Genomic DNA, 22876 nt, shown 5'->3' with positions numbered 1-22876 from the left:
GCAGCCGGAAGTGTCGATCCCTCAGCCAGGGCATGGAGCTCTCCTGCCCCGGTTCGCGGTGCCCGGTGCAAGAGCAGCGTGCCCGCTGGGAGCGGAAACGCGCCTGCACCGCCCGGGAGCTGCTAGAGACCGAGCGGCGCTACCAAGAACAGCTGGGGCTGGTGGCCACGGTGGGGGACCTGGCACACGCTCCCATTATAGGACAGGGACCCCAGGGTGTGGGAGGGTCTCTGCGAGGTCGGTAACCCGGAGCATGTAGGGAGCCTGGGCAGACTTCTGCGGTTTCTGGGGGCGCTTGGCGTTAGCCTTCTCTTCCTCTAGGCTAAGAACCAATGTTCTCTCCTTCCGCAGTACTTTTTGGGGATCCTGAAAGCCAAGGGGACCCTGCGACCACCTGAGCGCCAGGCCCTGTTTGGCTCCTGGGAGCTCATCTACGGCGCCAGCCAGTGAGTGGAAGGGGCACAGGGAGAGGAAAGGAGGGAGAGTCCTGGCCTGTGGCCGTGCACAGAGCTTGGAGTCAGACTTAGGTTCTATTTGGAGTCCGCCAGTTAGCTCACCTGTGGCCTTGGCCCAGGGCCTTAGCATGCCCTTGTTCTCCATCTGTACAATGGGGTAATAGCACTACTATTAGTGCTATTCTCATGAAAACTAAATGAGGTGGTGCTTGAGTGGTTCTAGAGCTGCCCTTTTGCTGTCCTTGCCCACACAGGGAGCTGCTTCCCTACCTGGAAGGAGGATGCTGGGGCCAAGGGCTGGAGGGCTTCTGCCGCCACTTGGAGCTCTATAACCAATTTGCTGCCAACTCAGAGAGGTCCCAGACCACCCTGCAGGTAACCTGGAGATGACCTCAAATCTTGCCCCTTACCTTTCCCCTTCATCTGGAGACCCAAACTTCATACATTTCCTGCATTTATAGAGCCCTCTGGGTGCTCAGCTCTGTGGTAAGTTCCTTGTAGAGAAACGAGAGTTTCTCTCAGGAGCACAGCTTACTGAAGGCTGGGAATGTGGATACAGATGAATGCAATATAAGGAGTGGCTTCTCTCCCTGCTTCCAATCCTTTCTCCCTCACTCCAGGAGCAGCTAAAGAAAAATAAAGGTTTCCGGAGGTTTGTACGGCTTCAGGAAGGCCGCCCTGAGTTTGGGGGCCTTCAGCTCCAGGACCTGCTCCCTCTGCCTCTGCAACGGCTCCAGCAGTGAGTGAACTCTTGATTCCAGCCGCCTCTCTCTTTTAGTTTGTATGACTGCTGCCCTCAGCTTTGTGGGATGCCTTGGGGTCGATCCCAAACTCTTGCCTCGACCCTGAGCCAAATTGCTTCTAAAAACCTTTTGCAAGAGTAAATGTGAACCCATTGGAGTACCCAGGGTCTGCAGCCTGAGGCCCTCAGCTGGAACTGTGGAACTTTAAATTGAAGTGAGGGGGCCTGTACTAGGGCCTGAGGCACGGTTTCTGGAAAAGTTTCAGATGCGGGGCTGGCCTGGGTTAGAATTTCTGTCTCTGGGTTAAGCCTGAGTTAAGGGCTATAGTCAGGCTGTCTGTAGCATCCTCCTTGGGTTGATAAACTTTCATCTTCCAATCTGGCCTCCTGAAGTATGGCTAGTCTGCCAGTGACTCTTCAGTGTGGGATGGAAGAGGGCTGTGTGGTGTGAGCCTGGTTCTGAGTCCTACATGAAAGAAGGGGATACAGTAGCCAGAAGCAGATCTTTCCTGGCCTTCAATTGAAGTATGGGTAGAGGGTGATCTGCACATCAGGCAGGGGGAATTCTGCCTGGCTCTGCTTCCCCTCAGACTTCCCACTGTTGAATTCCAGGTATGAGAATCTCGTCGTAGCTTTGGCTGAAAACACAGGTCCCAACAGCCCTGACCATCAACAGCTCACACGTAGGTTCTTGCTCCTCGGCAACGCAGGCTGGAGGCTTCCTCTCCTGTATTCCTTTCTGATTCTGACCTCCAACAATGTCTGGTATGACCCTATCTTCCACTGACATGTATACAGTGTCCCTACTGCTCTGCCTTTTCTTCAAGAAGTCAGACCCTGACCCTGGTCCCTTCCAGAATAACCTCTTTCACAACCATGGCACCCAAAGTCAAAGTTGTATGGGGAGTAAGGTGGGAGATGTTATTCCAGGGGCTGCCCGACTGATAAGTGAGACTGCCCAGAGAGTCCATACTATTGGTCAGAAACAGAAGAATGACCAGCACCTTCGGCGTGTCCAGGCTCTGCTCAGTGGACGCCAGGCAAAGGGGCTGACCTCAGGTAGCTTGCCTACTTCCCCTTCAATCCTCAACTGCCCCATCTTTTATTTTTATCTAACTCCAAATGCCGACCAGCTGCTCTTTTCTTACTCACCCTTCTTCCTGTACTGACCCAGCACATAACCCCTATTTTCTCAGCCTCCCTTTCCTCTTATTCCCATGTATCTTGAAGCTGCACCAGAATAACAGCGCTCCCATCCCCCAGGGCGCTGGTTCCTACGCCAGGGCTGGCTGTTAGTGGTGCCTCCCCATGGGGAGCCTCGGCCCCGCATGTTCTTCCTCTTCACTGATGTGCTCCTCATGGCCAAGCCTCGGCCTCCACTGCACCTGCTGCGGAGTGGCACCTTTGCCTGCAAGGCCCTCTACCCCATGGCCCAGTGTCATCTCAGCAGGGTCTTTGGCCACTCAGGAGGCCCTTGTGGTGGGTTGCTCAGTGTAAGTAATAGGTGGGAACCCTAGACCCAAAATATGTCTCAGATGCTTATGGGCTGGTTTATCTCCCTGGTCTGGGTCCCTTTTCATAGGAACAGAGCCATCTACATTGAGAGAGGATAGCTGGGGCTCGGGCTTCATACCTAGTCATTGTCTCATCCCTGAATTAGCTCCATGGAAACAGCAAGGGCTTCAGCTTTAGCCTGGACCTTTCTGAGCCATGCGCTAAGAGGTGGTCTCTCTCTAGCTGTCCTTCCCTCATGAGAAGCTACTGCTTATGTCCACAGACCAGGAGGAGCTGTCACGCTGGTACCACAGTCTGACTTGGGCTATCAGGTAAGTTGTGTCTTCCCCCAGGAAGGGTGCTGTGATGAGGCCCACAAGCAGGAAATATGCAGTTCCTGTCTCATGCCCTACATTGGTCTGGCACACCCCAGCCACCAACCCCCAGATGATTTTGTCTGAATAAAGCACTCATACCAGTGCCTGAACTGACTGTCTTCTCTCCACAGCAGCCAGAAAAACTAGAGGAATCTTATAGATTCCAGAACTCAGGATACCTCAGGGATAGGTCACAGCCAAGAGTACAAAGGAATCTTCAGTACTGAACAAAACAGAACCCTTCATGATTTGACAAAGGTCACTTTCTGTTTGCCTGGACCAAGCTACTCCAGATCATCTGACCAACTCTTAAAAATCACGGCCAGGCACAGTGGCTCATGCCTGTAATCCCAGCACTTTGGGAAGCAGAGGTGGCAGGATCATTCCAGCCCAGGAGTTCAAGACCAGCCTGGGCAACACAGTGAGTGAGACCCTGTCTCTATTTAAGAAAAAATAATTAAGAAATTTTATTAAAAAAGAAGAATCAGGAAACCAAGTCCAACCCAACTAAACCTCAAATGAACCAGCCCCTAACACAGATGAGGGGATTTGGGACTGATAAGCTCTGTGCTGTGTCCATGGCCCGTCATTTATCAAGGCTGCAGCTTTGTAAATGTGGCTATTTTTATGTTGTGTATAGTTTCTATCATTTATTTTTCCACTGGATTTGAGTAAAGTTTTTTTTCTTTTTTTTGGGAAAGACCCTTCTGTCTCAGTTTTGCTATGAGAAAAGGGATTTTTGGGCCCTGAACGCGGGCATGCTGGTGGCCTCAGGAATACGAGGAAAAGAGCTGGAGCTCCCTCTATCTTCTCTGCTGTCACACTGGAAGGCAGCCTCTTTTTGTCCTAATAAGGACAGCTCTTCAAGAAGGCCCAGTTGTCCTTAGGCACCTAGTATGGGTGTGTACAACCAACTAGGATCGAAAAAACACACAGGAGCACTCCATCATGAAAACAGACTTTGTTTTAGTCGACCTTCAGCTGTCGTCCCTCCTTCCCAGCCAAGGCTGTGACTGGGGCCCTTTGCCACAGCCTGGCTGCACCTTCTCCGTAGTCCCCGCCCCACCTCCCAGGAAGTAGCTAGGTTCCATGTCTCTGTGCTCCAGTTTGTGGGCTCCTCCCAGGCCTGACTGTCACCAATCTCCTCCTCGTCCTCCTTTAAACAGAAGTCCTCAGGAAGAGGTCTGCTGGCCTCTGTGTGGGGAGAGATCAGGAATGTTCCAGTTTCAGAGACTTTGTCTCCACCTCCAGCAGACTCGCCTCCCGAGCCTTCACCTGGTTCTGAAGCCTCCATATCCTTGTCCGGCTTGCTATCTTGCAGCAGCTCGTGGATGGTCCATAGCTTCATGTTCAGAAGCTCCTGCTGGGCTCCAGCCAGAGTAGTCACACTGAAGAAATGTCCACTCAGTGGCTCCCAACCTATGTCCCCATTCCTCCCTCCTGCCACAAATTCCCCAAAAATTCACAGAATCATTGCTCTCCTCACCGCTCAAAAAGGGGGTCCAGCTGGGCCATCAGGTTGTTCAGGTGCTGCTCTGTCTGGGCCAGCTGTTGTGTCAACTGGGCCAGCTGTTGCTCTGGGGATAAGGGAAAAAAGGGGGCAGAAGTGGTTATGTATCTTCTGCTGTCCCCTAAACTCCCCCGACCCAGCACAGACTTCTGCTAAACCCACCTGACTGCAGTGGCTGCTGCTTGCTTGCCTCCTCGTGGAGAACCGCAGTTTCATCTTTCCCCTGTTGTGGAAGAAGGAAAGGGCAGTACTGAAGCAACAAGGTTCTGCTCCATCACCTCAGTCTCCAGAGCCAGCCAAGAGAGAGTGCAATTTGAGATGGAGACAGTGATTGGGTTTTTACCTCAGAGAATCACAATCCTAGTCTATCTAGCTCCTCACCCAGCATATGAAGCGACGTCCTATGTCCCACACATGGTCAGTTTGCTGAAACACCTCCAGGAATGAGCAACTCCCTCCGGTTTGAAAAAAGCTCTGGTGGCTGAGTGCTGTGGCTCACACCTGTAATCCCAGCACTTCGGGAAGCCAAGGTGGGTGGATCACCTGAGGTCAGGAGTTTGAGACCAGCCTGGCCAACACGGTGAAACCCTGTCTCTATTAAAAATACAAAAATTAGCCGGGCGTGGTGGCAGGTGCCTGTAATCCCAGTTACTTGAGAGGCTGAGGCAGGAGAATCGCTTGAACCTGGGAGCCAGAGGTTGCAGTGAGCCGAGATTGCGCCGCTGCACTCCAGCCTGGGTGACAGAGCGAGACTCCATCTCGAAAAAAACAAAAACTTTGGTTGTTAGACAGTTCATGCACAAAGCCAAAATTTGTCCTTTATGTATCTTCTTTCCATAGTGCTTACTGGAGCCTTCCAAAATAATGTCTCCTCAAGGTGACAGCCCCTCAGGAATTTGAAGGCAATGGTCACACCCTCACCCACTTTCCTGAGTTTTTTCTGGTTTATTAACGTCAGTCTTTACAGTCAGTGCTCATTGACGGTGGTTTTCTCTGGTTGTTTCCTGAACACGTAGTGCTCTTAAAGCAATGCCCTGAGGAGAATACAATTCTCCAGGGGCATTCTGATTGGCAGGTGAAGCACAGTGCCATGTTCCCAGCACTGATTTGGGAAGTGGCTTGTCACATCCCACAGTGAACTCAGTCAACTGGAATGCCTAACTCTCTTTCATAAGACCTCCTGCTACATTATGTTTCTCCCAGACTGTACTCAGGTCCAAGAACAGAATTTACTAGTCTATCCTTCTCAAAGTTCATCATTAAATTCAGTCATTCATCCTAGCCTGTCACATCTACCTGGGGTCATTATTAGCTATCTCTTCTAGTTTCATATATCTAAACTGGTTCCATCGGTTCTATTTTATAATGCAAGTACGTAATAGGGTCACGGCTAAAGACACAGCCCTGGAAGGTACTGTTTTTCAAAATGTACTGTCAACTTACATTTCAGGGCCTCCTCCCAAGGAGAACATGAGACCACTTCATATCTGGAACTCTAGAAACACTGGCTGCAGCAATCAACCTCCTGTGCCAAGGCTGGCCCCACTCTTGTAGCATGGACACTGCTAGCTGGGTTCAAATCCCAGCTCCAGCAGTTGCCAGCGCTGGGTGACCTCGAGCAAGTGACTACTCCTCACTGGATTGTAGGAGAACTAAATGTGATAGTCATTATTTACAGTTCACCACACGCTCTTCACATCCGTTACCTCCCTGGATCCTCAAAATAACCTCATAATATTGGAAGGCCAACGGACTACTGTCTTTATTTTACAGACAGGGAAGCTGTGTCTTGTTCTTGGTACCCTGGCACCCCCATGGGAGATTCGGGCTCAGGGGATCCCCACGCCCGGCGGTCCCGCACCTGCAGGGGCACCCCTACCCCCGGCCGCCCCGTACCTGCAAACACTTGTACAGCACAAAAGCCGCGACGGCCGCGGTGTACAGCGCCCCCAGAGGCAGCGACCCGGCCCGGGTCCGCTCGCGTTGATCCTTGAGCGGTGGTCGCCGCCGGGGTTCCGTGGCTCCAGAGCCGGGGTGGGCTGCGTTCCCTGCGGAGGGAGGATACAGGCGAGTCAGCCGAGCTGGGGCCTGGGACCCGTGCGCAGTCCCAGCCCTCCTCCAGCAGCCCTAGCTGGTACCTGGGTGTGCCCGGAGGTCGGGATTGGCGCGGTCTCCTAGGACCCCGGACAGCGCAGACACAAGCAGCAGCCCCACCACACCCAAGAGCGAAACTGCGCCCGCCATTGCCGGCCCACGGGTGGAGGGATCGGGCGGGCGGTGCCGAAGCGGTCCGGCATTGGCCGGCCGCCCCAACGCGCACGCGCACGCGAGCAGGCCGGCCGGCTCCGGGGAGGCCACGCCCACTCCCCGTAGGGCGGGGCCAGACCATATTTGCATAAGATAGTGTCATTCTAGCTTTCCTGTATTTGTTCATTTCGTGTCTATTAGCTATTCTGCTAGCCACAATGCCTCTGAAAGCCTATAGTCTTAGAAAGTTATGCCCGAAAACGGTTTTTTTAATCTCACGCCACCAACTTTCTCACCCTAATCATAAAACACAATTTCTTTAGGGCTATAAAATACTACTCTGTGAAGCTGAGGACGTGGTTCGTGCTGAAGGCCTGTATCCTAGGCTACACACTGAGGACTCTGTTCCTCCCCTTTCCGCCTAGGGGAAAGTCCCCGGACCTCGGGCAGAGAGTGCCACGTGCATACGCACGTAGACATTCCCCGCTTCCCACTCCAAAGTCCGCCAAGAAGCGTATCCCGCTGAGCGGCGTGGCGCGGGGGCGTCATCCGTCAGCTCCCTCTAGTTACGCAGGCAGTGCGTGTCCGCGCACCAACCACACGGGGCTCATTCTCAGCGCGGCTGTTTTTTGTTCCCGAGACCACGGCTCACTGCAGCCTCGACCTCCCCGGGCTCACGCGATGCCTCACCTCAGGCTCCCAAGTAGTTGGGACCGCAGGCGCACGCCATCATGCCTGGCTAATTTTTGTATTTTTTGTAGAGACGGATTTTCACCTGTTGCCCAGGCTGGTCTCGAACGCCTGGTGTCAAGCGATCAGTCCACCTCGCCCTCCCAAAGTGCTGGGATTACAGGCGTGACACCGCGCCCGGTCAACGCGGCTGCTTTTCATGCGCGGGCAGCTTTACGCTGTTCTTGGCCTTGCTATGAAGTCCTTGTGCTCATTACTCCAAATATGGAGCATTCCTGAAACAGCCTCCTCTTCTACCTCCCTCTCCCTTTGGCAAACGCCATAGTAGCCACCATTCACTGTGTAGCTGGTACACAACATATGGACTCTGCTTGGGCTAGAATCCTGCCTCCTGTACTCAAGAGCGGTGACCTTGTGAAACTTAGTTCTCTCTCCGTGCCTTCCTTTCCACTCTGAGGAATGAAGATAAGCACTTACTTCAAGAGCTATGATGATTAAATGGGATCACTCAAGTTAGAACCGTGCCTACTTATTAGTGATTTTTTTTTTTTTGGAACGGCGGGTCGCTCTCTTGCCCAGGCTGGTCTTAAACTCCTGGGATCCTCCCGCTTCAGCCTCCCGGGTAGTTGACATTACAGGCACGTGCCACCCCGACGGACTCTAGTGATTTTTTAACTTGAGCAGCTACTACTGTAAGCCAGACAGTTGAAATTACACTGACTCTCCCTGACATGCCGCTGCATTCCCTTTCTGCATACTGGGTTCTACACGACCTTCAGTTCTCAGCTCAAGTGTGTTCCCATCATTCGGAACCCTTAATTCAACTTCTAATTTATTCTTTAGTGCCGCTATTTCACTTTCTTCAATACCACTAGACAAGCAGTCCCCAACCTTTTTGGCATCAGGGACCGGTTTCGTGGAAGACAATTTTTCCATGGACGAAGCGGGGTGGAGGGATGGTTTCCGGATGAAACTGTTCCACTTCAGATCGTCAAGCATTAGATTCTCACGAGGAGCGTGCAACCTAGATCCCTCCCATGCACAGTTCACAATATGGTTCGCGCTCCTATGAGAATCTAATGCCGTGCTCATCTGACAGGAGGCGGAGCTCAGGCGGTAATGATTGCTGGCCCCACTGCCCACATCCTGCTATGTGGCCCGGAGCCTAACAGGCCACAGGCTGGTGCTGGCCTGTGGCCGGGTGTTGGAGACCCTTGAGCTAGGCTGGTCCTAAATTCCACAAGGGCAGGAGCCACCTCTCTTTTTTCTTTACCATTTTACTCCCAGAGCCTAGCACAGCACGTGGCGCCTGGCGATAGCAGGCACTCAATGAATCGTTGTTGAATGAAATTAATGAATGGTTAAAATGACCCAAAAGGGTAATATAGTTAAGCTCTTTCAAAGAATGAGGCAACTGCAATTCAGCAAGGTTAAGTATGCTACTAATCAGGTAAGAGGCAGGGTGGTGATTTCACCAGTTTTTTGCCTGTCTCTATACCTTCTGTCGAACAGCCTTTCCCCATCCTTGTCTTCCATGACTTCACCAGGCAGGCAGGTATTCCTTCTGTTCCACAGAGCCTTCCATGGTCTCTTAATTGGGATACACTGGGTCATCTGTCTAGTTAGATCAAGAGCTCCCTGACATGAAACCATTTCCATTCATCACATTTTTATCTCCAGAGCCTGGCATACAAACAGGCAATCAGTACATCATGTGTGTTAAATAAATGAATGAAGCCAAGATCGGTGGCTTATGCCTCTAATCCCAGCACTTTGGGAGGCCGAGGCAGGAGGATCACCTGAGGTCAAGAGTTTGAGACCAGCCTGGCCAACATGGCTAAATCTCGTCTCTATTAAAAATAGAAAAATTAGCCGGGTGTGGTGGCGGGCGCCTGCAGTCCCAGCTATTTGGGAGGCTGAGACAGGAGAATCACGGGAACCTGGGAGGTGGAGGTTGCAGTAAGCCGAAATCGTGCCACTGCACTCCAGCCTGGGCAAACGAGTGAGACACCGCCTCAGAAAAACAAAACAAAAACAAAAATTAACCAGGTGTGGTGGCCAGCACCTGTAATCCCAGCTATTCAGGAGGCCGAGGCATAAGAATAGCTTCAACCTGGGAGGCGGAGGTTGCAGTGAACAGAGATCGCGCCACTGCACTCCAGCCTCAGTGTCAGAGCAAGACTCCATCTCTAAATAAATAAATAAATAAATAAATAAATAAATAAATAAATGAAATATGGGTGTGTCTTCTTGTTTTTCCTGAAAGGAGGAGGAAGGGCAGGACAGGGAGAAACCCTCACCAAGGGGAGTTATCATAGTGTAGTTCAAGGGTCCCCAACACTATTGGTCCATGGCCTGTTAGGAACTGGGCCGCACAGCAGGAGGTGAGCAGCGGAGGAGCAAGGGTGAGCGGCGGAGTAGCGAGGGAAGCTTCATCTGTATATACAGCCACTCTCCATCCTGGCATTACCGCCTGAGCTCTGTCTCCTGTCAGATCAGTGCAGTGTTAGATTCTCATAGGGCCACGAACCCTATTGTGAATTGTGCATGCACGTGATGTTGTGGGCTCCTTATGAAAATCTAGGCCAGGTGCAGTGGCTGATGCCTGTAATCCCAGCACTTTGGGAAGCCAAGGTGGGTGGATCTCTTGAGGCCAGGAGTTCAAGACCAGCCTGGACAATATGGTTAAAAAAAAAAAAAAGTCTCTAATAAAAATACAAAAATTAGCTGCGCATGGTGGCGCATGCCTGTAATCCTAGCTACTTGGGAGGCTGAGGCATAAGAATTGCTTGAACCCAGGAGGCGAGGTTGCAGTGAGCCAAGATTGCACCACTGCACTCCAGCCTGGGTGACAGAGCGAGACCCTGTCAAAAAAACAAAACAGAACAAAAAAACCACAATACCTGATGATCTGAGGTGGAACAGTTTTATCCCAAAACCATCCCCTCCTCCCATACTCCTGTGCATGGAAAAATTGTCTCCCACAAAACCTGTCCCTGGTGCCAAAACGGCTGGGGACCAGTGGTCTAGCTGATGACCCAGTGACAGCCTGGGTACGCAAAGCAGGGTAATAGAAATCTTGAATCTAAGCCAGTTGGCACAGTCGGTGTAAATAAGGGGTTCAGGCCAGATATAATAATGATAAGTGGTCCCCAACTGATTATTGCCTTTAGAGAACTCAGGGCACTATTGCCAGATCTTTTTTTGAAGGAATCAACAAATTAGAATTTTAAAAATTTGAAATCTCCCAATTTTTAACTGTTGACAAGGAATCAGTGGCATACTTAGCATATTTGACACCAAGTGGTCTTTGTGTGTGTGTGTGTGTGTGTGTGTGTGTGTGTGTGTGTGTGAGAGAGAGAGAGAGAGACAGGGTCTCCCTCTGCTGCCCAGTCAGGAGTGCAGTGGTGAGACCATGGCTCACTGCAGCCCCAAATTTCTTGGATCAGCCTCCTGAGTACCTGGGACTGCAGGTGCACACCACCATGCCCAGCTAATTTGTGTGTTTTTTTGTTGTTGTTTTTTGTTTGTTTGTTTGTTTGTTTTTTGTAGAGACCAGGGTATTGCCCAGGCTGGTCTTGAACTTCTGGCCTCAAGGAATCTGCCTGCCTCAGCCTCCCAAAGTACTGGGATTACAAGTGTGAGCCACCTTGCCTGTTCCGGATCATTTAAAAAACATTTTTCTTTCTTTTCTGTCTTTTTTTTTTTTTTTTTTTGAGACAAGCTCTCACTCTGTTGCCCAGGCTGGAGTGGTGCAGTGGCACAATCATGGCTTACTGCTGCCTCTATCTCCCAGGCTCAAGCAATCTTCCCACTTCAGCCTCTTAAGTAGCTGTGACTACAGGCACACATGCCCCCATGCCTCGCTAATTTTTTAATTTTTTGCAGAGATGGGAATCTCACTATGTTGGTTAGGCTGGTCTCAAACTCTTGGGCCCAAGCTATCCTCCCACCTCAGCCTCTCAAAGTGCTGTGATTACAGGTGTGAGCCATCACACCTGGCCCAAATTTTTCTTTCTTTCTTTTTTTTTTTTTTTTTGAGATGGAGTCTTGCTCTGTCGCCCAGGCTGCAGTGCAGTGGAGTGATCTTGGCTCACTGCAGCCTCCACCTCCTGGGTTTAAGCAATTCTTGTGCCTCAGCCTCCAGAGTAGCTGGGATTACAGGTACCTGCCACCATGCCCGGCTAATTTTTGTATTTTTAGTAGAGACGAGGTTTCACCATGTTGACCAGGCTGCTCTCAAACTCCTGACCTCAGGTGATCCACCCACCTCAGCATCCCAAAGTGCTGGGATTACAGGCGTGAGCCACCATGCCCAGACCCAAATTTTTCTTGTTTTCTTTCTTTTTTTGGGGGTGGGGGGCAGGGTCTCACTCTGTTGCCCAGGCTGGAGTGCAGAGGCTTGATCTTGGCTCACTGAAACCTCTACCTCCTAGGCTCAAGCAATCCTCCCACCTCAGCCTCTCGAGTAGCTGGGACCACAGGCGTGCACCATCACACCTGGCTAATTTTTTGTATTTTTGGTAAAGACGGGGTTTTGCCATGTTGCCCAAGCTGTTCTTGAACTCCTGGGCTCAAGCGATCCTCTTGCCTCACCCTCCCAACGTGCTGGAATTGCAGGCATGAGCCACCATGCCTGGAACAAAGTTTTATTTTTCAAGTGGATCATTTAAAAAAATGCTTTATGGCCAGGCACGCCACTTCTCTCCAGCCTGGGCAAGTGAGCCGAGATTGTGCCACTGCGGTCTGGTCTGAGCGACAGAGGGAGACTCCATCTCAGATAAATAAATAAATAAAATTAAAACAAATTTAAACATTCTTTATATGACAAAATTATTCTCAATGGCAATTATAAAATGAATAATAAGGGCCAAGAAATAAACTCAGTGAATATTTTCTTTCCTTGAACTTTGTAAATATAATCATGTCAGCATAAAAACAGCCATGCATTGCTTAACAACAGGGATATGTTCTGAGAAATGAGTCACTAGGCAATTTTGTCATTGTGCAAACATCATAGAGTGTATTTTCACAAACCTAGATGGTGTAGCCTATTACCCATCTAGGCTACATGGTATAGCCTGGTGCTCCTAGGCCCCAATGCTTACAGCATGTTACCATACTGAATACTGTAGGCAGTTGTAAGACAATGGTATTTGTGCATCTACTGTAGAGACAGGGTCTCTCCGTCTGTCGCCCAGGCTGGAGTGCAGTGGCATAATCATAGCTCCCTGCAGCCTCCAACTCCTGGGCTCAAGTGATCCTCCCACCTCAGTCTCCCAAGTAGCTAGGACTACACGCTTGTGTCATCAGGCCTGTCTACTGTTTTTGTTTGTTTTTTGGTAGAGATGGAGGGTCTCACTATATTGCTCAGACTGGTTTTGAACTCCTGGCCTCAAGCAATCCTCCTGCTGCCTTGGCCTCCAAAGTGCTGGTATTACAGGAATGAGCCACTGCACCTGGTCCACTACAGCAATTTAAAAGTTAGATCTGGGCTGGGCGCAGTGGCTCATGCCTGTAATTCCAGCACTTTGGGAGACCGAGGTGGGCAGGTTGCTTGAGGTCAGGAGTTGAGACCAGCCTGGCAACACAGGGAGACCTATCTCTACAAAAAATGAACTAGATTAGCTGGGTGTGGTGGCACATGCCTGTAGTCCTAGCTGCTTAGGTGGCTGAGATGGGAGGATCACTTGAGCCCGGGAGATCGTCAAGGCTGCAGTGAGCTGAGATTGTGTTACTGCACTCCAACCTGGGAGACAAAGTAAGACCCTGTCTCAAAAAAAATATAAAACTTAGATCCATAAAATATTTTTCAGGGAGGATAATTTTATCACTGATTTTTTTTTTCAGAATTTCTGGAACATGGTGATAATAAGAGGACTGATTTTTATTTTTTAAATTCTCTACAGACAATGCACCCCCTTATTGCCTGCAACTCAAGGGGCAGGACTTCTGCCATCCCTATTGTTGGCATGCCACTGCACTGATTTTAAACTTTTAAAAAATGTTGTATGGGCTAGACAAAACACATCTCTGACTTCTGGTCTCAGGTTTATATTTGCAACTTAAAATCCCTCTTCCTACATCAATAGCCTTGCACGTGATGGAGTTAGCTCTAGGTATGGCAGGTACTACACCCGCTGAAGTGAACATGTGCAAGATAGGGCTCAGTTTCCCAGGACAGTCCTACAGCAAAGAGTTTTAAAATGCAATTAATTATTGAGAGTGACAGTTCTTACAGACAGTTTGGATGAAGTGGGTTGAAAGGGGAGGTTTGGGGGTGTCCCCCAAATTATAATGCCCCCAATGAAACAATAACAAGCATCATCTAAACACATATCCTCTCAGATCAGCCTTAGGGTGTGATGGGATCAGAGGTACCAGGAGGCTCCCCCGACCCTTCCACTTTATACCATACTCATTGAGGAATACATCTTTCTTCTGGGACCAGAGTCAGGGAGGAAGGTGGGCATCCTGGAGCAGAAGGGGTGTTCCTGTCCTTGTTAGTCCTGCTTCACACCACTTCTGCCCCCACCCCCCGCCCTCAGAGTCCTCAGGGACTCAACTGCCCGTGGCACATTACCCACAGGCCTGCTTCTCTTCTCAAGGGGGGCAAAGGGCCTGGGCAGCGAGGGTGGGGGAAGCTCAGGAGCTGCAGGAGTGGCGCAGGTGCAGGCACAGGGCGGGGTCTTTGTTCTTTTTTTCATCCCTCCCCTCCCCCTTCCTCCCCGGAAACCAGAGACTTTGCCACCACCAGTATTGGGGATGCTGAGCTGCGGGGTACGGGCCTGAGGAGGGATGGGAGTAAGAAGTGCTGTGGAAACCGTCAGGCCATGAACCAGGCTGACCCTCGGCTCAGAGCAGTGTGCTTGTGGACTCTCACATCTGCAGCCATGAGCAGAGGCGACAACTGCACGGATCTACTCGCACTGGGTGAGCTGGGCAGGGCAGGGGCTGGTGGGGGAGGGGTCATGTGGCCCCAGGTCCCACCTGCTGGGCCCTGGGGGTGGGGCGGGGCTGTTACACCCCCCTTCCTTTCACATCCACAGGAATCCCCTCCATAACCCAGGCCTGGGGACTGTGGGTCCTCTTAGGGGCTGTGACGCTGCTATTTCTCATCTCGCTGGCTGCACACTTGTCCCAGTGGACCAGGGGCCGGAGCAGGAGCCATCCGGGGCAGGGACGGTGGGTGAAGGACAACAGGGATGGGTTGACTGAGAGTTCTCTCTTACCGAGAAGTCCCCACTCATCCCCTAAACTCTGCGTTGCAGCTCTGGAGAGTCTGTGGAAGAGGTCCCGCTGTATGGGAACCTGCATTATCTACAGACAGGTAGGGAGCTGGCAGAGAGGAGGGGCACAGAGGCCAGGTCCTGGGTGGCTGGGATGGGGGCGTGCAGGAGGAAGGACAAGTTGCTGACCAGATTCCTGTTCCCCGTCCCAGGACGGCTGTCTCAAGACCCAGAGCCAGACCAGCAGGATCCAACTCTTGGAGGCCCTGCCAGGGTGAGTCAACTGTGGCTGGAGAAAAGGGGGAGGGAAGGAAGTGGGGGGCTTTTCGGGCTTTTCCGAGGGTCCAGTGAACTTCTAACAGCCTTGCATCTCCAGGCTGCAGAGGAGGTGATGTGCTATACCAGCCTGCAGCTGCGGCCTCCTCAGGGTCGGATCCCCGGTCCTGGAACCCCCGTCAAGTACTCGGAGGTGGTGCTGGACTCTGAGCCAAAGTCCCAGGCCTCGGGCCCCGAGCCGGAGCTCTATGCCTCAGTATGTGCCCAGACCCGCAGGGCCCGGGCCTCCTTCCCGGATCAGGCCTATGCCAACAGCCAGCCTGCAGCCAGCTGAGATGGAGGGCCTGGCACAGCGGGGCGTGCACTGCCCCAGCCCCCCGTAGCAGGGGCATGACTGTTTCCCAACCAGCACCCAAAGACGGGCGCCATTGCCAAGTCACAGGATGTGATCTACCCCGGACTTCCTATCTGAGCTTCAAGGGAGACATCTCAGGGCAAAGCTTTCGTGATGGAGGAGGCAAAGACAGTAGCCCCCTCCTTATTTCTTTTTTCTATCTGTTCCTCTTAGCCCCCAAACTCCCAGGTTCTCACTTCCTTCTTCTGGAGTTTAACCAGATCCTCCCCACCCCCGCTCCCTCATAGTCTACCCCCACGCCTCAGTGTCTCCTCAGGCACAGGAAGTGGGCGGTGGGGGAGGGGTAAGGGCCTGACAGTGGGTGGGTGGGTATATTCCTCAGGAGTCCACAGACTGGAGTGGACCTGGAACTTAGAGACGGGAGGGACCCGAGCCTGGCTTTTGACCTAAGAACCCTAGCAGGAGAATACAGTCTCCATCCTGCTGTCTCTGTCCTGTCCCCAAGTTTTCAAATAAAACTTTCCAAAAAGTGTTTAGATTTTTACCTAGAAGGCTGAAGACTTGCAAAGGGCCCTGCAGATGGGGGTGTGAGCTTTGCTGTCTGCACGGAGCTCTTTCTGGGGGTGCCTAGCTGGGGATGAGGGGCCAAGAGGGGCTGCGGCATCAACAGTGCAGAGGTGGGCACCGGGGTGGAGGGCCAGAGCCCAGCTCCTCAGCTGCTGTTGCTGCTGCTAGAACACCCCTGGGATCTGCACTCAGAGCCACTGCATTCCCCCTGGGGCTGCAAGCTCACAGTCCTGAGCTACTCTCCCCTTGACCTCTATAACTGCCATCACCTCCACAACCTGCCAGCCTGGTTCCTTCATCAAGTCCTCCAATCTGACCTCCGTCTGTCCGCTATGAGTCCCACCTATACCCCTGTTTTGACATCAGTAGCCTTATCTGCACTTAGTCATCGTATACCCCTAGAGGCCTTCTCCTTACCCCATCACTATGGCAGCGGTCCATCTCCACTCACTCTCTCCCACTCTGGCCTCCCAAAGTGCTGGGATTACAGGCATGAGCCACCGTGCCTGGCCTTCACTCTCTCAGTTGTCACCTGCAGTCTTGGCAACAGTTTTGCTTGTCACCACTTTCATTTTAATCCCCATCTAATTTGTCCTGCCTGTCCACCCATCACCTGCTGATTCTTAACCCCAGCCTCCTACCCCATATAGCATGCTACATCAGCCAGTTGGCACAGAGATTAGGACTCTGGGCTCAGGAGCCGGACTGCCTGCATTCAAATTCCATGTCTACCACTTACCAGCTGTGTGTTCTTGGGCAACTGTGCCTCGGTTTCTGAATCTGTAAGATTGAGAGGATATTAACGGTGTTTACTTCAAAAAAAGGTGGTTGTGAGGCTGAATGAGTTACCATTTGTAAAGCACTTAGACAATAAATGCTCAATAATGCTAGGCATTATTAAAATAAGAGAAATACAGGATCCTCTATGGGAGCTCATAGGTGAAGTGACTTCTAGGTAGAGACATGACACATAGTAGGAATCTGCCAGGAGAAGCGAAGGACAGAAAATGCTCCAAGGCAAAGGGAACCACAGGCAAAGGAGAGGCTTATTCAGAGGACCTGGCAGAAGTGCATTAGGCACAGCGGAGGGTAGAGTGAGATGGGGGCAATGGTAAGATGAGGCTGGAGGGGCAGACAGAGCCAGATCACACTGCGCCCATAAGTCATGCCAAGGAGCTTGGGCTTTATCCTGCAGGGGAGGTGAAAGGGAGTCACTGAAAGTTTTAAGCGAGGGATGAACACAGTGAGTTAAAGGCTCTAACTCCACTGGCTGCTGTGCTGATCTAGTGGTCAGCAGTCTGGAGTCAGGCGGCGCCTTTCAAAGGCTATTGCAAGATTTGAGTGAGAGGGGATGGCGGCAGTAGCGGTAGGGATGCAGAGGAGGGATGGATTACAAAGAGATGTTTAGGGTTTTTTTTTTTTTTAAAGGCCCCACCTATCACATCTTCCAGATTTCTGGTTAGAGCCTGTAACACCCCCCAACCCAAATCCTCATCATCATAATACAGCATAGCTCCAAGTTGGTTTCAGCTCATCACCTTCCTCACCTGGCAATCTCTCTCTCTCTCTCTCTCTCTCTCTCTCTCTCTCTCACAAACACACACACACCCTCCACCCCTTAAGCCCATCTGTGATCCATCTGTCTAGCAAAAGCTCCAACCTGTCAAACCTCTTCTAGGATATTTCAAGGTCTAGACCATCTCCCCAGGGCCTCTGTAGAGGCGGGCCGCGCTTGACAGATCTTTCTGAGGCTTGAGGGGCTGAAGAAAGGAGAAGCTGAGGCTTTCACTTCCAAGCTTCTCTTCTTCCCACTTGGAGTGCCACAGGAAGCCACAGAGGAGGAACCCGTGCGCCTGATTCCTGCCTGGTGGTCCCAATTTGAAAGGGACCACCCTTCCCTTAAGCCCACCCCCCTACAGACCCCACAAATGCCCCTGGGTCCCTGGACCTCTGAGGACCCCACCCTGGGCCTCCCCAGGAGAGGCCCAGGTCGCGGTTAAGGGCAGGTAGCTGGGGATGCGGAGGAGGGAGGGAGGGAGGCTTCGGGGGCGGACACCGGATGCGGGGAACCACCGGCAGCGGGATGTGGGGTTCTGAGGGCTGCGGTGCTTCTGAAGATGGCTCAGCGTCGCGCCAGGTGGACGTGAGAGCTTTACCCTGGAGGAGGCGGGGGTTGGAGTCCCGCCTACCCACTGGGACAAGCCAAGGGGTCAAACGCCCCCAACCCAGCCCGCAGATCTCCTCGAAGCACCCGGTTCTCCTGGCCCGCCCAGACCCACGGCGCTCGCCGCCTTCGCCCGCTTAGGACTGAGTCCGCAGCGCCGCCGCCTGGCGAGGGGCGGAGTTGCCACCACTTCTGCGCAGGCGGGATGCAGCCTGGCCCGCGGCATCCCGGGAGTTGTAGTCTCGACGCTTCGGGGCCACCCCAGGGTCTGGTCCCTGACGACGCGCAGTGAGGGCCCCGCCGCTACCCCAGCAGTCGCCTCCCAAGTTCGCGGAACGCAGCTGACCGGCTCCCTCTGGACTGGGTGACATGACTGCTCCCAAGCAGTCGTTTGTAAACTGAGTTTCTGTAAAACAATTTTATTTTTCATATGTGACTGTAGCGGGGTATGATTTGAACTTTGTTTTCCGTCCCCCAGCCCGGATTCTCTGTCTTCTCCTGTACAGCCGTTCCGTTTTCTTACCTCGTCTCCGTCACCGAGGCCCTCAGCCCTGAACACAAGGACTGGGCAGTTTCCCTATTGATTCCTGAACCTGGAACTTAAGACATCTTCCGAGGGGCCCCCCCTTGCCACACCCTCTAGCTGATCGACTCACAAATACCTGTGATTTCTCTCCCCGTCTCCACCTCCAGGTACTTCCCTAGTGGACTCCTTTCCCTCACCGGCGTAGCATTCCAGCCAGAAGGAGTGCCCGTCCTAGCGCCCCGTTCCCAGGGACAGACCCTCAGGGGGAGCTCCTAGGGCCCCAGCTGTCCCTCCTCTTTCTTAAAGCCTAGCTAGGAGGATAGGGACACATTGAAAACGGAAGAGGGAGGGTCTCCGGGACAGTCAAAGGTTCAACAGCAGGAAGTTCTTTTTTTTTTTCTTTTTTTTTGAGGCGAAGTCTTGCTCCTGTCGCCCAGGCTGGAGTGCAATGGCACGATCTCGGCTCACTGCAACCTCCGCCTCCCAGGTTCAAGAGATTCTCCTGCCTCAGCCTCCTGAGTAGCTGGGAATACAGACGCCCGCCAACACTCCCGGCTAATTATTTTTGTATTTTTAGTAGAGAGAGGGTTTCGCCATGTTGGGCAGGCTGGTGAACTCCTGACTTCAGGTGATCCGCCCACCTAGACCTCCCAAAGTGCTGGGATTACAGGCTTGAGCCACCGAGCCTGGCCAGGTTCTTAAGAAATTACTTATAGGTGGGGAGGGTCTTTGGAAGCCATCCGGCCAGGGCACCTCCATCTTTGGCCCTGCTCTGTAGTCTCTCAAAGATGGGTTTAAACTTCCAGCTTGGTTTTCTTACAAGGAGGGAAACAGAGCTGGGTTGTGGAGAGAAACCAAGTGTTTTTTAATTCTTAATTTTTATGGGTACATAGTAGGTGTATGTATTTATAGAGTACATGAGATATTTTGATATACGCATACAATGCATAATACAGACCAAGTTTTTTTTTGTTTGTTTTTGTTTTTTGAGACGGAGTCTTGTTCTGTTGCCCAAGCTGGAGTGCAGTGGTGCAACCTCGGCTCACTGCAACCTCTACCTCTTGGGTTCAAGCGATTCTCCTGCCTCAGCCTCCCTAGTAGCTGGGACTACAGGTGTGCACCACCATGCCCTGCTAATTTTTGTATTTTTAATAGAGACGGGGTTTCACCGTGTTGGCCAGGCCGGTCTCCAACTCCTGACCTCAAGTGATCCACCCGCTGGGATTACAGGCGTGAGCCACAGCGCCTGGCCCAGACCGAGTCTTAATGACTTCATTTGAAACCTTGAATCTAGACATGCCCAGAGCTATATTTGCCTTCTGAACTTTTTGGCTATGTAAGCTAATGAATTCCTTTTTTTTTTTTTTTTTGAGACGGAGTTTCGCTCTTGTTGCCCAGGCTGAAGTGCAGTGGCGAGATCTCGGCTCACTGCAACCTCCGCCTCCTGGGTTCAAGCGATTCTTCTGCCTCAACCTCCCGAGTAGCTGGGAATACAGGCATGCTCCACCACCCCCGGCTTATTTTGTGTTTTTAGTAAACGGGGTTTCTCCATGTTGGTCAGACTGGTCTGGAACTCCCAACCTCAGGTGATCTGTCCACCTTGGCCTCCCAAAGTGCTGGGATTACAGGCGTGAGCCACCGCGCCCGGCCTTTTTTTTTTTTTTTTTTGGCTTCAGTCAAAGTTATGTTTTCTATCTCTCGCAGTCACGAGTTCTGACTAATTCTGTGGGGGAAAGACCAACAGACAGGAGCCAGCTGAAGATGCTGAACCTCTGATGTCTTCACTTATTGCCCAATTCCTCCTTGAGCCACCCTCCTCTGACTTAAATGTACTGTCATGCCATTTGGCCCTAAGATATTTCTACTTAACGTGTGAGTTAATCAGATCCCTTGTCTAGCTTATAAATTTCTAGAATCATATAGCCAAAAGGAGGCTGACAGATCTGGCCCAAAGTTACACCCACTGCAGGAACTGCCCTATGATTTCTTCTTGAACACTTCCAGAAGCTGAACCTCTCCTTGGTAAGGACCTCACTACCTTTCCAAGGACTCTCTTCCAATCTTTCTGATTGATAGAACTTTTAAAATTTGGAACCAAAGTTGGCTTCCTTGTTACTTGTCTCACTGGTTCTGTCGATACTGGTCTGACAGCCCTGGAGGAATTGGGAGCCAGTCCTTACAAATAACCTAGGTCTTTTTTTTTTTTTTTTTTTTTTTTTGAGACAGAGTTTCACTCTTGTTGCCCAGGCTGGAATACAGCGGTGTGATCTTGGCTCACTTCAACCTCCACCCCACCCCTGGTTTCAAGCGATTCTCCTGCCTCAGCCTCCAGAGTAGTTGGGACTACAGGCACTCGCCACCATGCCTGGCTAATTTTTTGTATTTTTAGTAGAGATGGGGTTTCACCATGTTGGCCAGGATGGTCTCAAACTCCTGACCTCATGATCCACCCACCTTGGCCTCCCAAAGTGTTGGGATTACAGGCATGAGCCACCATGCCTGGCCTTTCTTTCTTTTTTTTTTTTTTCCTTTTCAGGAGAAGCGTTCTAAAGTGCCTTCTACAGTTTGTTTGTTTGTTTGTTTTGAGACGGAGTTTTTCTCTGTCACCCAGGCTGGAGTACAATGGTGCGATCTTGGCCCCACTGCAACCTCCACCTCCAGATTTAAGCAATTCTCCTGCCCCAGCCTCCCAACCTCTGGAGTAGCTGGGATTATTGGGGCGTGCCAATACGCCCGGCTAATTTTTGTATTTTTAGTAGAGATGAGGTTTCACTATGTTGGCCAGGCTGGTTTTGAATGCCTGACCTCAGGTGATCTGCCTGCCTCCGCCTCCAAAAGTGTTGGGATTACAGGCGTGAGTTACCCAGCCCGGCCCCTTCTATAGTTCTTTTACAGACTTTATTTGCAGCTTACTCATCACTCCCTTTCGGCTTGATCCTTAACGTGTGGCACTAAGAAGTCAATCTAGTACTGGGAACACATAGTTGGGGGCCATCTCTTTGACTCGGCGCGCTTAGTCTACCAGGCCTTTGTTTGTAAGGAATCAAGTCTTTAAGTGAAGCGTTGTTTATTGTAAGGACACATGGGGCAATCAGGAGGCCTAAATGGAATGGGAATCCCAGAGCAGTGGCTATGGTGTGAGTAGACCTCTGCAGACTGTTATTGGATCTCAGATCTCTGCAGTGCTGGGGACTGTCACGCGCGTCTGTGATGGTCCAGGGGGCTTCCAAGGCGATTGGGCAGTGTCGGTCTTCAGCTGCTAAGCCGAGCAGATGTGGGAAGGAGTCAGCCAAGGAACGTTGGGTTTGAGCTCCAGGAGCTTTAGGAATGGTGGCGATGTGAGTCGGACAGTCCAACCTCCAGTGGGGGCCCACACAGACAGGGCACGGCCTAGGAGGAATCCCGAGCTGTGGGCATTCTCAGGCCCAGTGGCCAGGCTTTTGGCATTTGAAGCCAGGTCCACGAGGAGGTTTTGAAGGAGCCCCTGGGAACTGTGGCTTGGATGTTCTGAAGTTTTTGTGTGCTGGAGACGTGGTTGTGGGTTGTCTTACAGCAGAGGCGAGTAGCTGTAACTCAGAGATGCCTTGTCACTTGGCTGCCTCTTCTCTATTATTGTACACCTTGAAGGCAAGGTTAATTAAGTCCTGTTGTGGGGTTTGAGGGCCGGAATCCAATTGTTGGAGTTTTTTCCTAATATCAGGAGCAGATTGGGTGATAAAATGCATATTAAGAATAAGGCGGCAACCCAAAAGCAACTAAGAGGGTTCCTTGGCATAACAGGCTTCTGCCGAATATGGATTCCCAGGTACAGCGAAATAGCCAGGCCATTATATACACTAATTAAGGAAACTCAGAAAGCCAATACCCATTTAGTAAGATGGACACCTGAAGCAGAAGCGGCTTTCCAGGCCCTAAAGAAGGCCCTAACCCAAGCCCCAGTGTTAAGCTTGCCAATGGGGCAAGACTTTTCTTTATATGTCACAGAAGAAACAGGAATAGCTCTAGGAGTCCTTACACAGGTCCGAGGGATGAGCTTGCAACACGTGGCATACCTGAGTAAGGAAATTGATGGAGTGGTAAAGGGTTGGCCCCATTGTTTACGGATAGTGGCAGCAGTAGCAGTCTTAGTATCTGAAGCAGTTAAAATAATACAGGTGATCTTACTGTGTGGCCATCTCATGATGTAAACAGCATACTCACTGCTAAAGGAGACTTGTGGCTGTCAGACAACCATTTACTTAAAT

At 51.5% G+C, this 22876-nt stretch overlaps 4 protein-coding genes, 1 long non-coding RNA gene and 1 other non-coding gene across 11 annotated transcripts in view, besides 8 other annotated features; 4 read left to right on the top strand and 2 right to left on the bottom strand.

The window, feature by feature from the left end:
- Nucleotides 7-5859, top strand: ARHGEF39 (Rho guanine nucleotide exchange factor 39). Its single transcript, NM_032818.3, has 9 exons — nucleotides 7-170; nucleotides 352-446; nucleotides 710-830; nucleotides 1076-1194; nucleotides 1810-1880; nucleotides 2128-2256; nucleotides 2461-2690; nucleotides 2935-3023; nucleotides 3200-5859. Exons 1-9 carry the CDS (start codon nucleotides 33-35, stop codon nucleotides 3213-3215), a joined length of 1008 nt encoding a protein of 335 aa, NP_116207.2. The 5' UTR covers nucleotides 7-32; the 3' UTR covers nucleotides 3216-5859.
- Nucleotides 139-218: an enhancer, noted in NCBI's record as "active region_28331". NCBI's record gives its function as "activates an Ori minimal core promoter by ATAC-STARR-seq in GM12878 lymphoblastoid cells {active_cell/tissue: GM12878}" and the evidence as "EXISTENCE:reporter gene assay evidence [ECO:0000049][PMID:35858748]".
- Nucleotides 3156-3450: a silencer, noted in NCBI's record as "tiled region #3743; K562 Repressive non-DNase unmatched - State 17:Gen3'". NCBI's record gives its function as "represses a minimal TATA promoter and a strong SV40 promoter by Sharpr-MPRA in K562 cells {active_cell/tissue: K562}" and the evidence as "EXISTENCE:reporter gene assay evidence [ECO:0000049][PMID:27701403]".
- CCDC107 (coiled-coil domain containing 107) lies at nucleotides 3691-6910 on the bottom strand. Of its 5 annotated transcripts, none has more exons than NM_001195200.2 (6): nucleotides 6717-6910; nucleotides 6475-6626; nucleotides 4741-4801; nucleotides 4555-4645; nucleotides 4344-4456; nucleotides 3691-4262 (listed from the first exon to the last, which is right to left on the bottom strand). In NM_001195200.2, the coding sequence occupies exons 1-6, from the start codon at nucleotides 6820-6822 to the stop codon at nucleotides 4015-4017; spliced, it is 771 nt and encodes a 256-aa protein (NP_001182129.1). In that variant the 5' UTR covers nucleotides 6823-6910; the 3' UTR covers nucleotides 3691-4014. The 5 variants fall into 5 exon arrangements, with proteins under 5 accessions (NP_001182129.1, NP_001182130.1, NP_777583.2 ...); NM_001195201.2 differs by having other exon boundaries at nucleotides 4344-4436; NM_174923.3 differs by having other exon boundaries at nucleotides 3691-4456.
- Nucleotides 6788-7047: a silencer, noted in NCBI's record as "silent region_19871". NCBI's record gives its function as "represses an Ori minimal core promoter by ATAC-STARR-seq in GM12878 lymphoblastoid cells {active_cell/tissue: GM12878}" and the evidence as "EXISTENCE:reporter gene assay evidence [ECO:0000049][PMID:35858748]".
- Nucleotides 7130-7637: an enhancer, noted in NCBI's record as "H3K27ac-H3K4me1 hESC enhancer chr9:35657562-35658069 (GRCh37/hg19 assembly coordinates)". NCBI's record gives its function as "activates a minimal SCP1, AML or CMV promoter by ChIP-STARR-seq in naive and primed H9 embryonic stem cells {active_cell/tissue: H9 hESC(naive and primed)}" and the evidence as "EXISTENCE:reporter gene assay evidence [ECO:0000049][PMID:30033119]".
- Nucleotides 7183-7452, top strand: RMRP (RNA component of mitochondrial RNA processing endoribonuclease). The gene has a single exon (NR_003051.4).
- Nucleotides 7638-8146: an enhancer, noted in NCBI's record as "H3K27ac-H3K4me1 hESC enhancer chr9:35657053-35657561 (GRCh37/hg19 assembly coordinates)". NCBI's record gives its function as "activates a minimal SCP1, AML or CMV promoter by ChIP-STARR-seq in naive H9 embryonic stem cells {active_cell/tissue: H9 hESC(naive)}" and the evidence as "EXISTENCE:reporter gene assay evidence [ECO:0000049][PMID:30033119]".
- Nucleotides 14271-15907, top strand: SIT1 (signaling threshold regulating transmembrane adaptor 1). The gene is made up of 5 exons (NM_014450.3): nucleotides 14271-14448; nucleotides 14565-14700; nucleotides 14787-14845; nucleotides 14957-15018; nucleotides 15121-15907. Exons 1-5 carry the CDS (start codon nucleotides 14349-14351, stop codon nucleotides 15352-15354), a joined length of 591 nt encoding a protein of 196 aa, NP_055265.1. The 5' UTR covers nucleotides 14271-14348; the 3' UTR covers nucleotides 15355-15907.
- Nucleotides 14491-14560: a silencer, noted in NCBI's record as "silent region_19870". NCBI's record gives its function as "represses an Ori minimal core promoter by ATAC-STARR-seq in GM12878 lymphoblastoid cells {active_cell/tissue: GM12878}" and the evidence as "EXISTENCE:reporter gene assay evidence [ECO:0000049][PMID:35858748]".
- Nucleotides 15471-15520: an enhancer, noted in NCBI's record as "active region_28330". NCBI's record gives its function as "activates an Ori minimal core promoter by ATAC-STARR-seq in GM12878 lymphoblastoid cells {active_cell/tissue: GM12878}" and the evidence as "EXISTENCE:reporter gene assay evidence [ECO:0000049][PMID:35858748]".
- Nucleotides 15908-17725: 1818 nt separating the features above from the next.
- LOC101926948 (uncharacterized) lies at nucleotides 17726-18932 on the bottom strand. Its single transcript, NR_135130.1, has 2 exons — nucleotides 18769-18932; nucleotides 17726-18512 (listed from the first exon to the last, which is right to left on the bottom strand). It is a non-coding gene; the product is annotated as an uncharacterized LOC101926948 (long non-coding RNA).
- Nucleotides 18345-22876, top strand: part of CD72 (CD72 molecule) — a 36876-nt gene continuing 32344 nt past the window's right edge. For both annotated transcript variants that reach the window (XM_047424154.1, XM_047424156.1), the window contains exon 1: nucleotides 18345-18799. The gene's annotated coding sequence lies outside the window, so the exon portion shown is untranslated. The remainder of the gene's footprint in view (nucleotides 18800-22876) is intronic.
- Nucleotides 18381-18760: an enhancer, noted in NCBI's record as "active region_28329". NCBI's record gives its function as "activates an Ori minimal core promoter by ATAC-STARR-seq in GM12878 lymphoblastoid cells {active_cell/tissue: GM12878}" and the evidence as "EXISTENCE:reporter gene assay evidence [ECO:0000049][PMID:35858748]".

The sequence above is a fragment of the Homo sapiens genome, chromosome 9 (genome assembly GCF_000001405.40).
Source record: "Homo sapiens chromosome 9, GRCh38.p14 Primary Assembly".
Classification (NCBI taxonomy): domain Eukaryota; kingdom Metazoa; phylum Chordata; class Mammalia; order Primates; family Hominidae; genus Homo; species Homo sapiens.
Note: the sequence above shows the minus strand (reverse complement) of the source record. Positions and strands in the feature narration are given on the sequence as shown.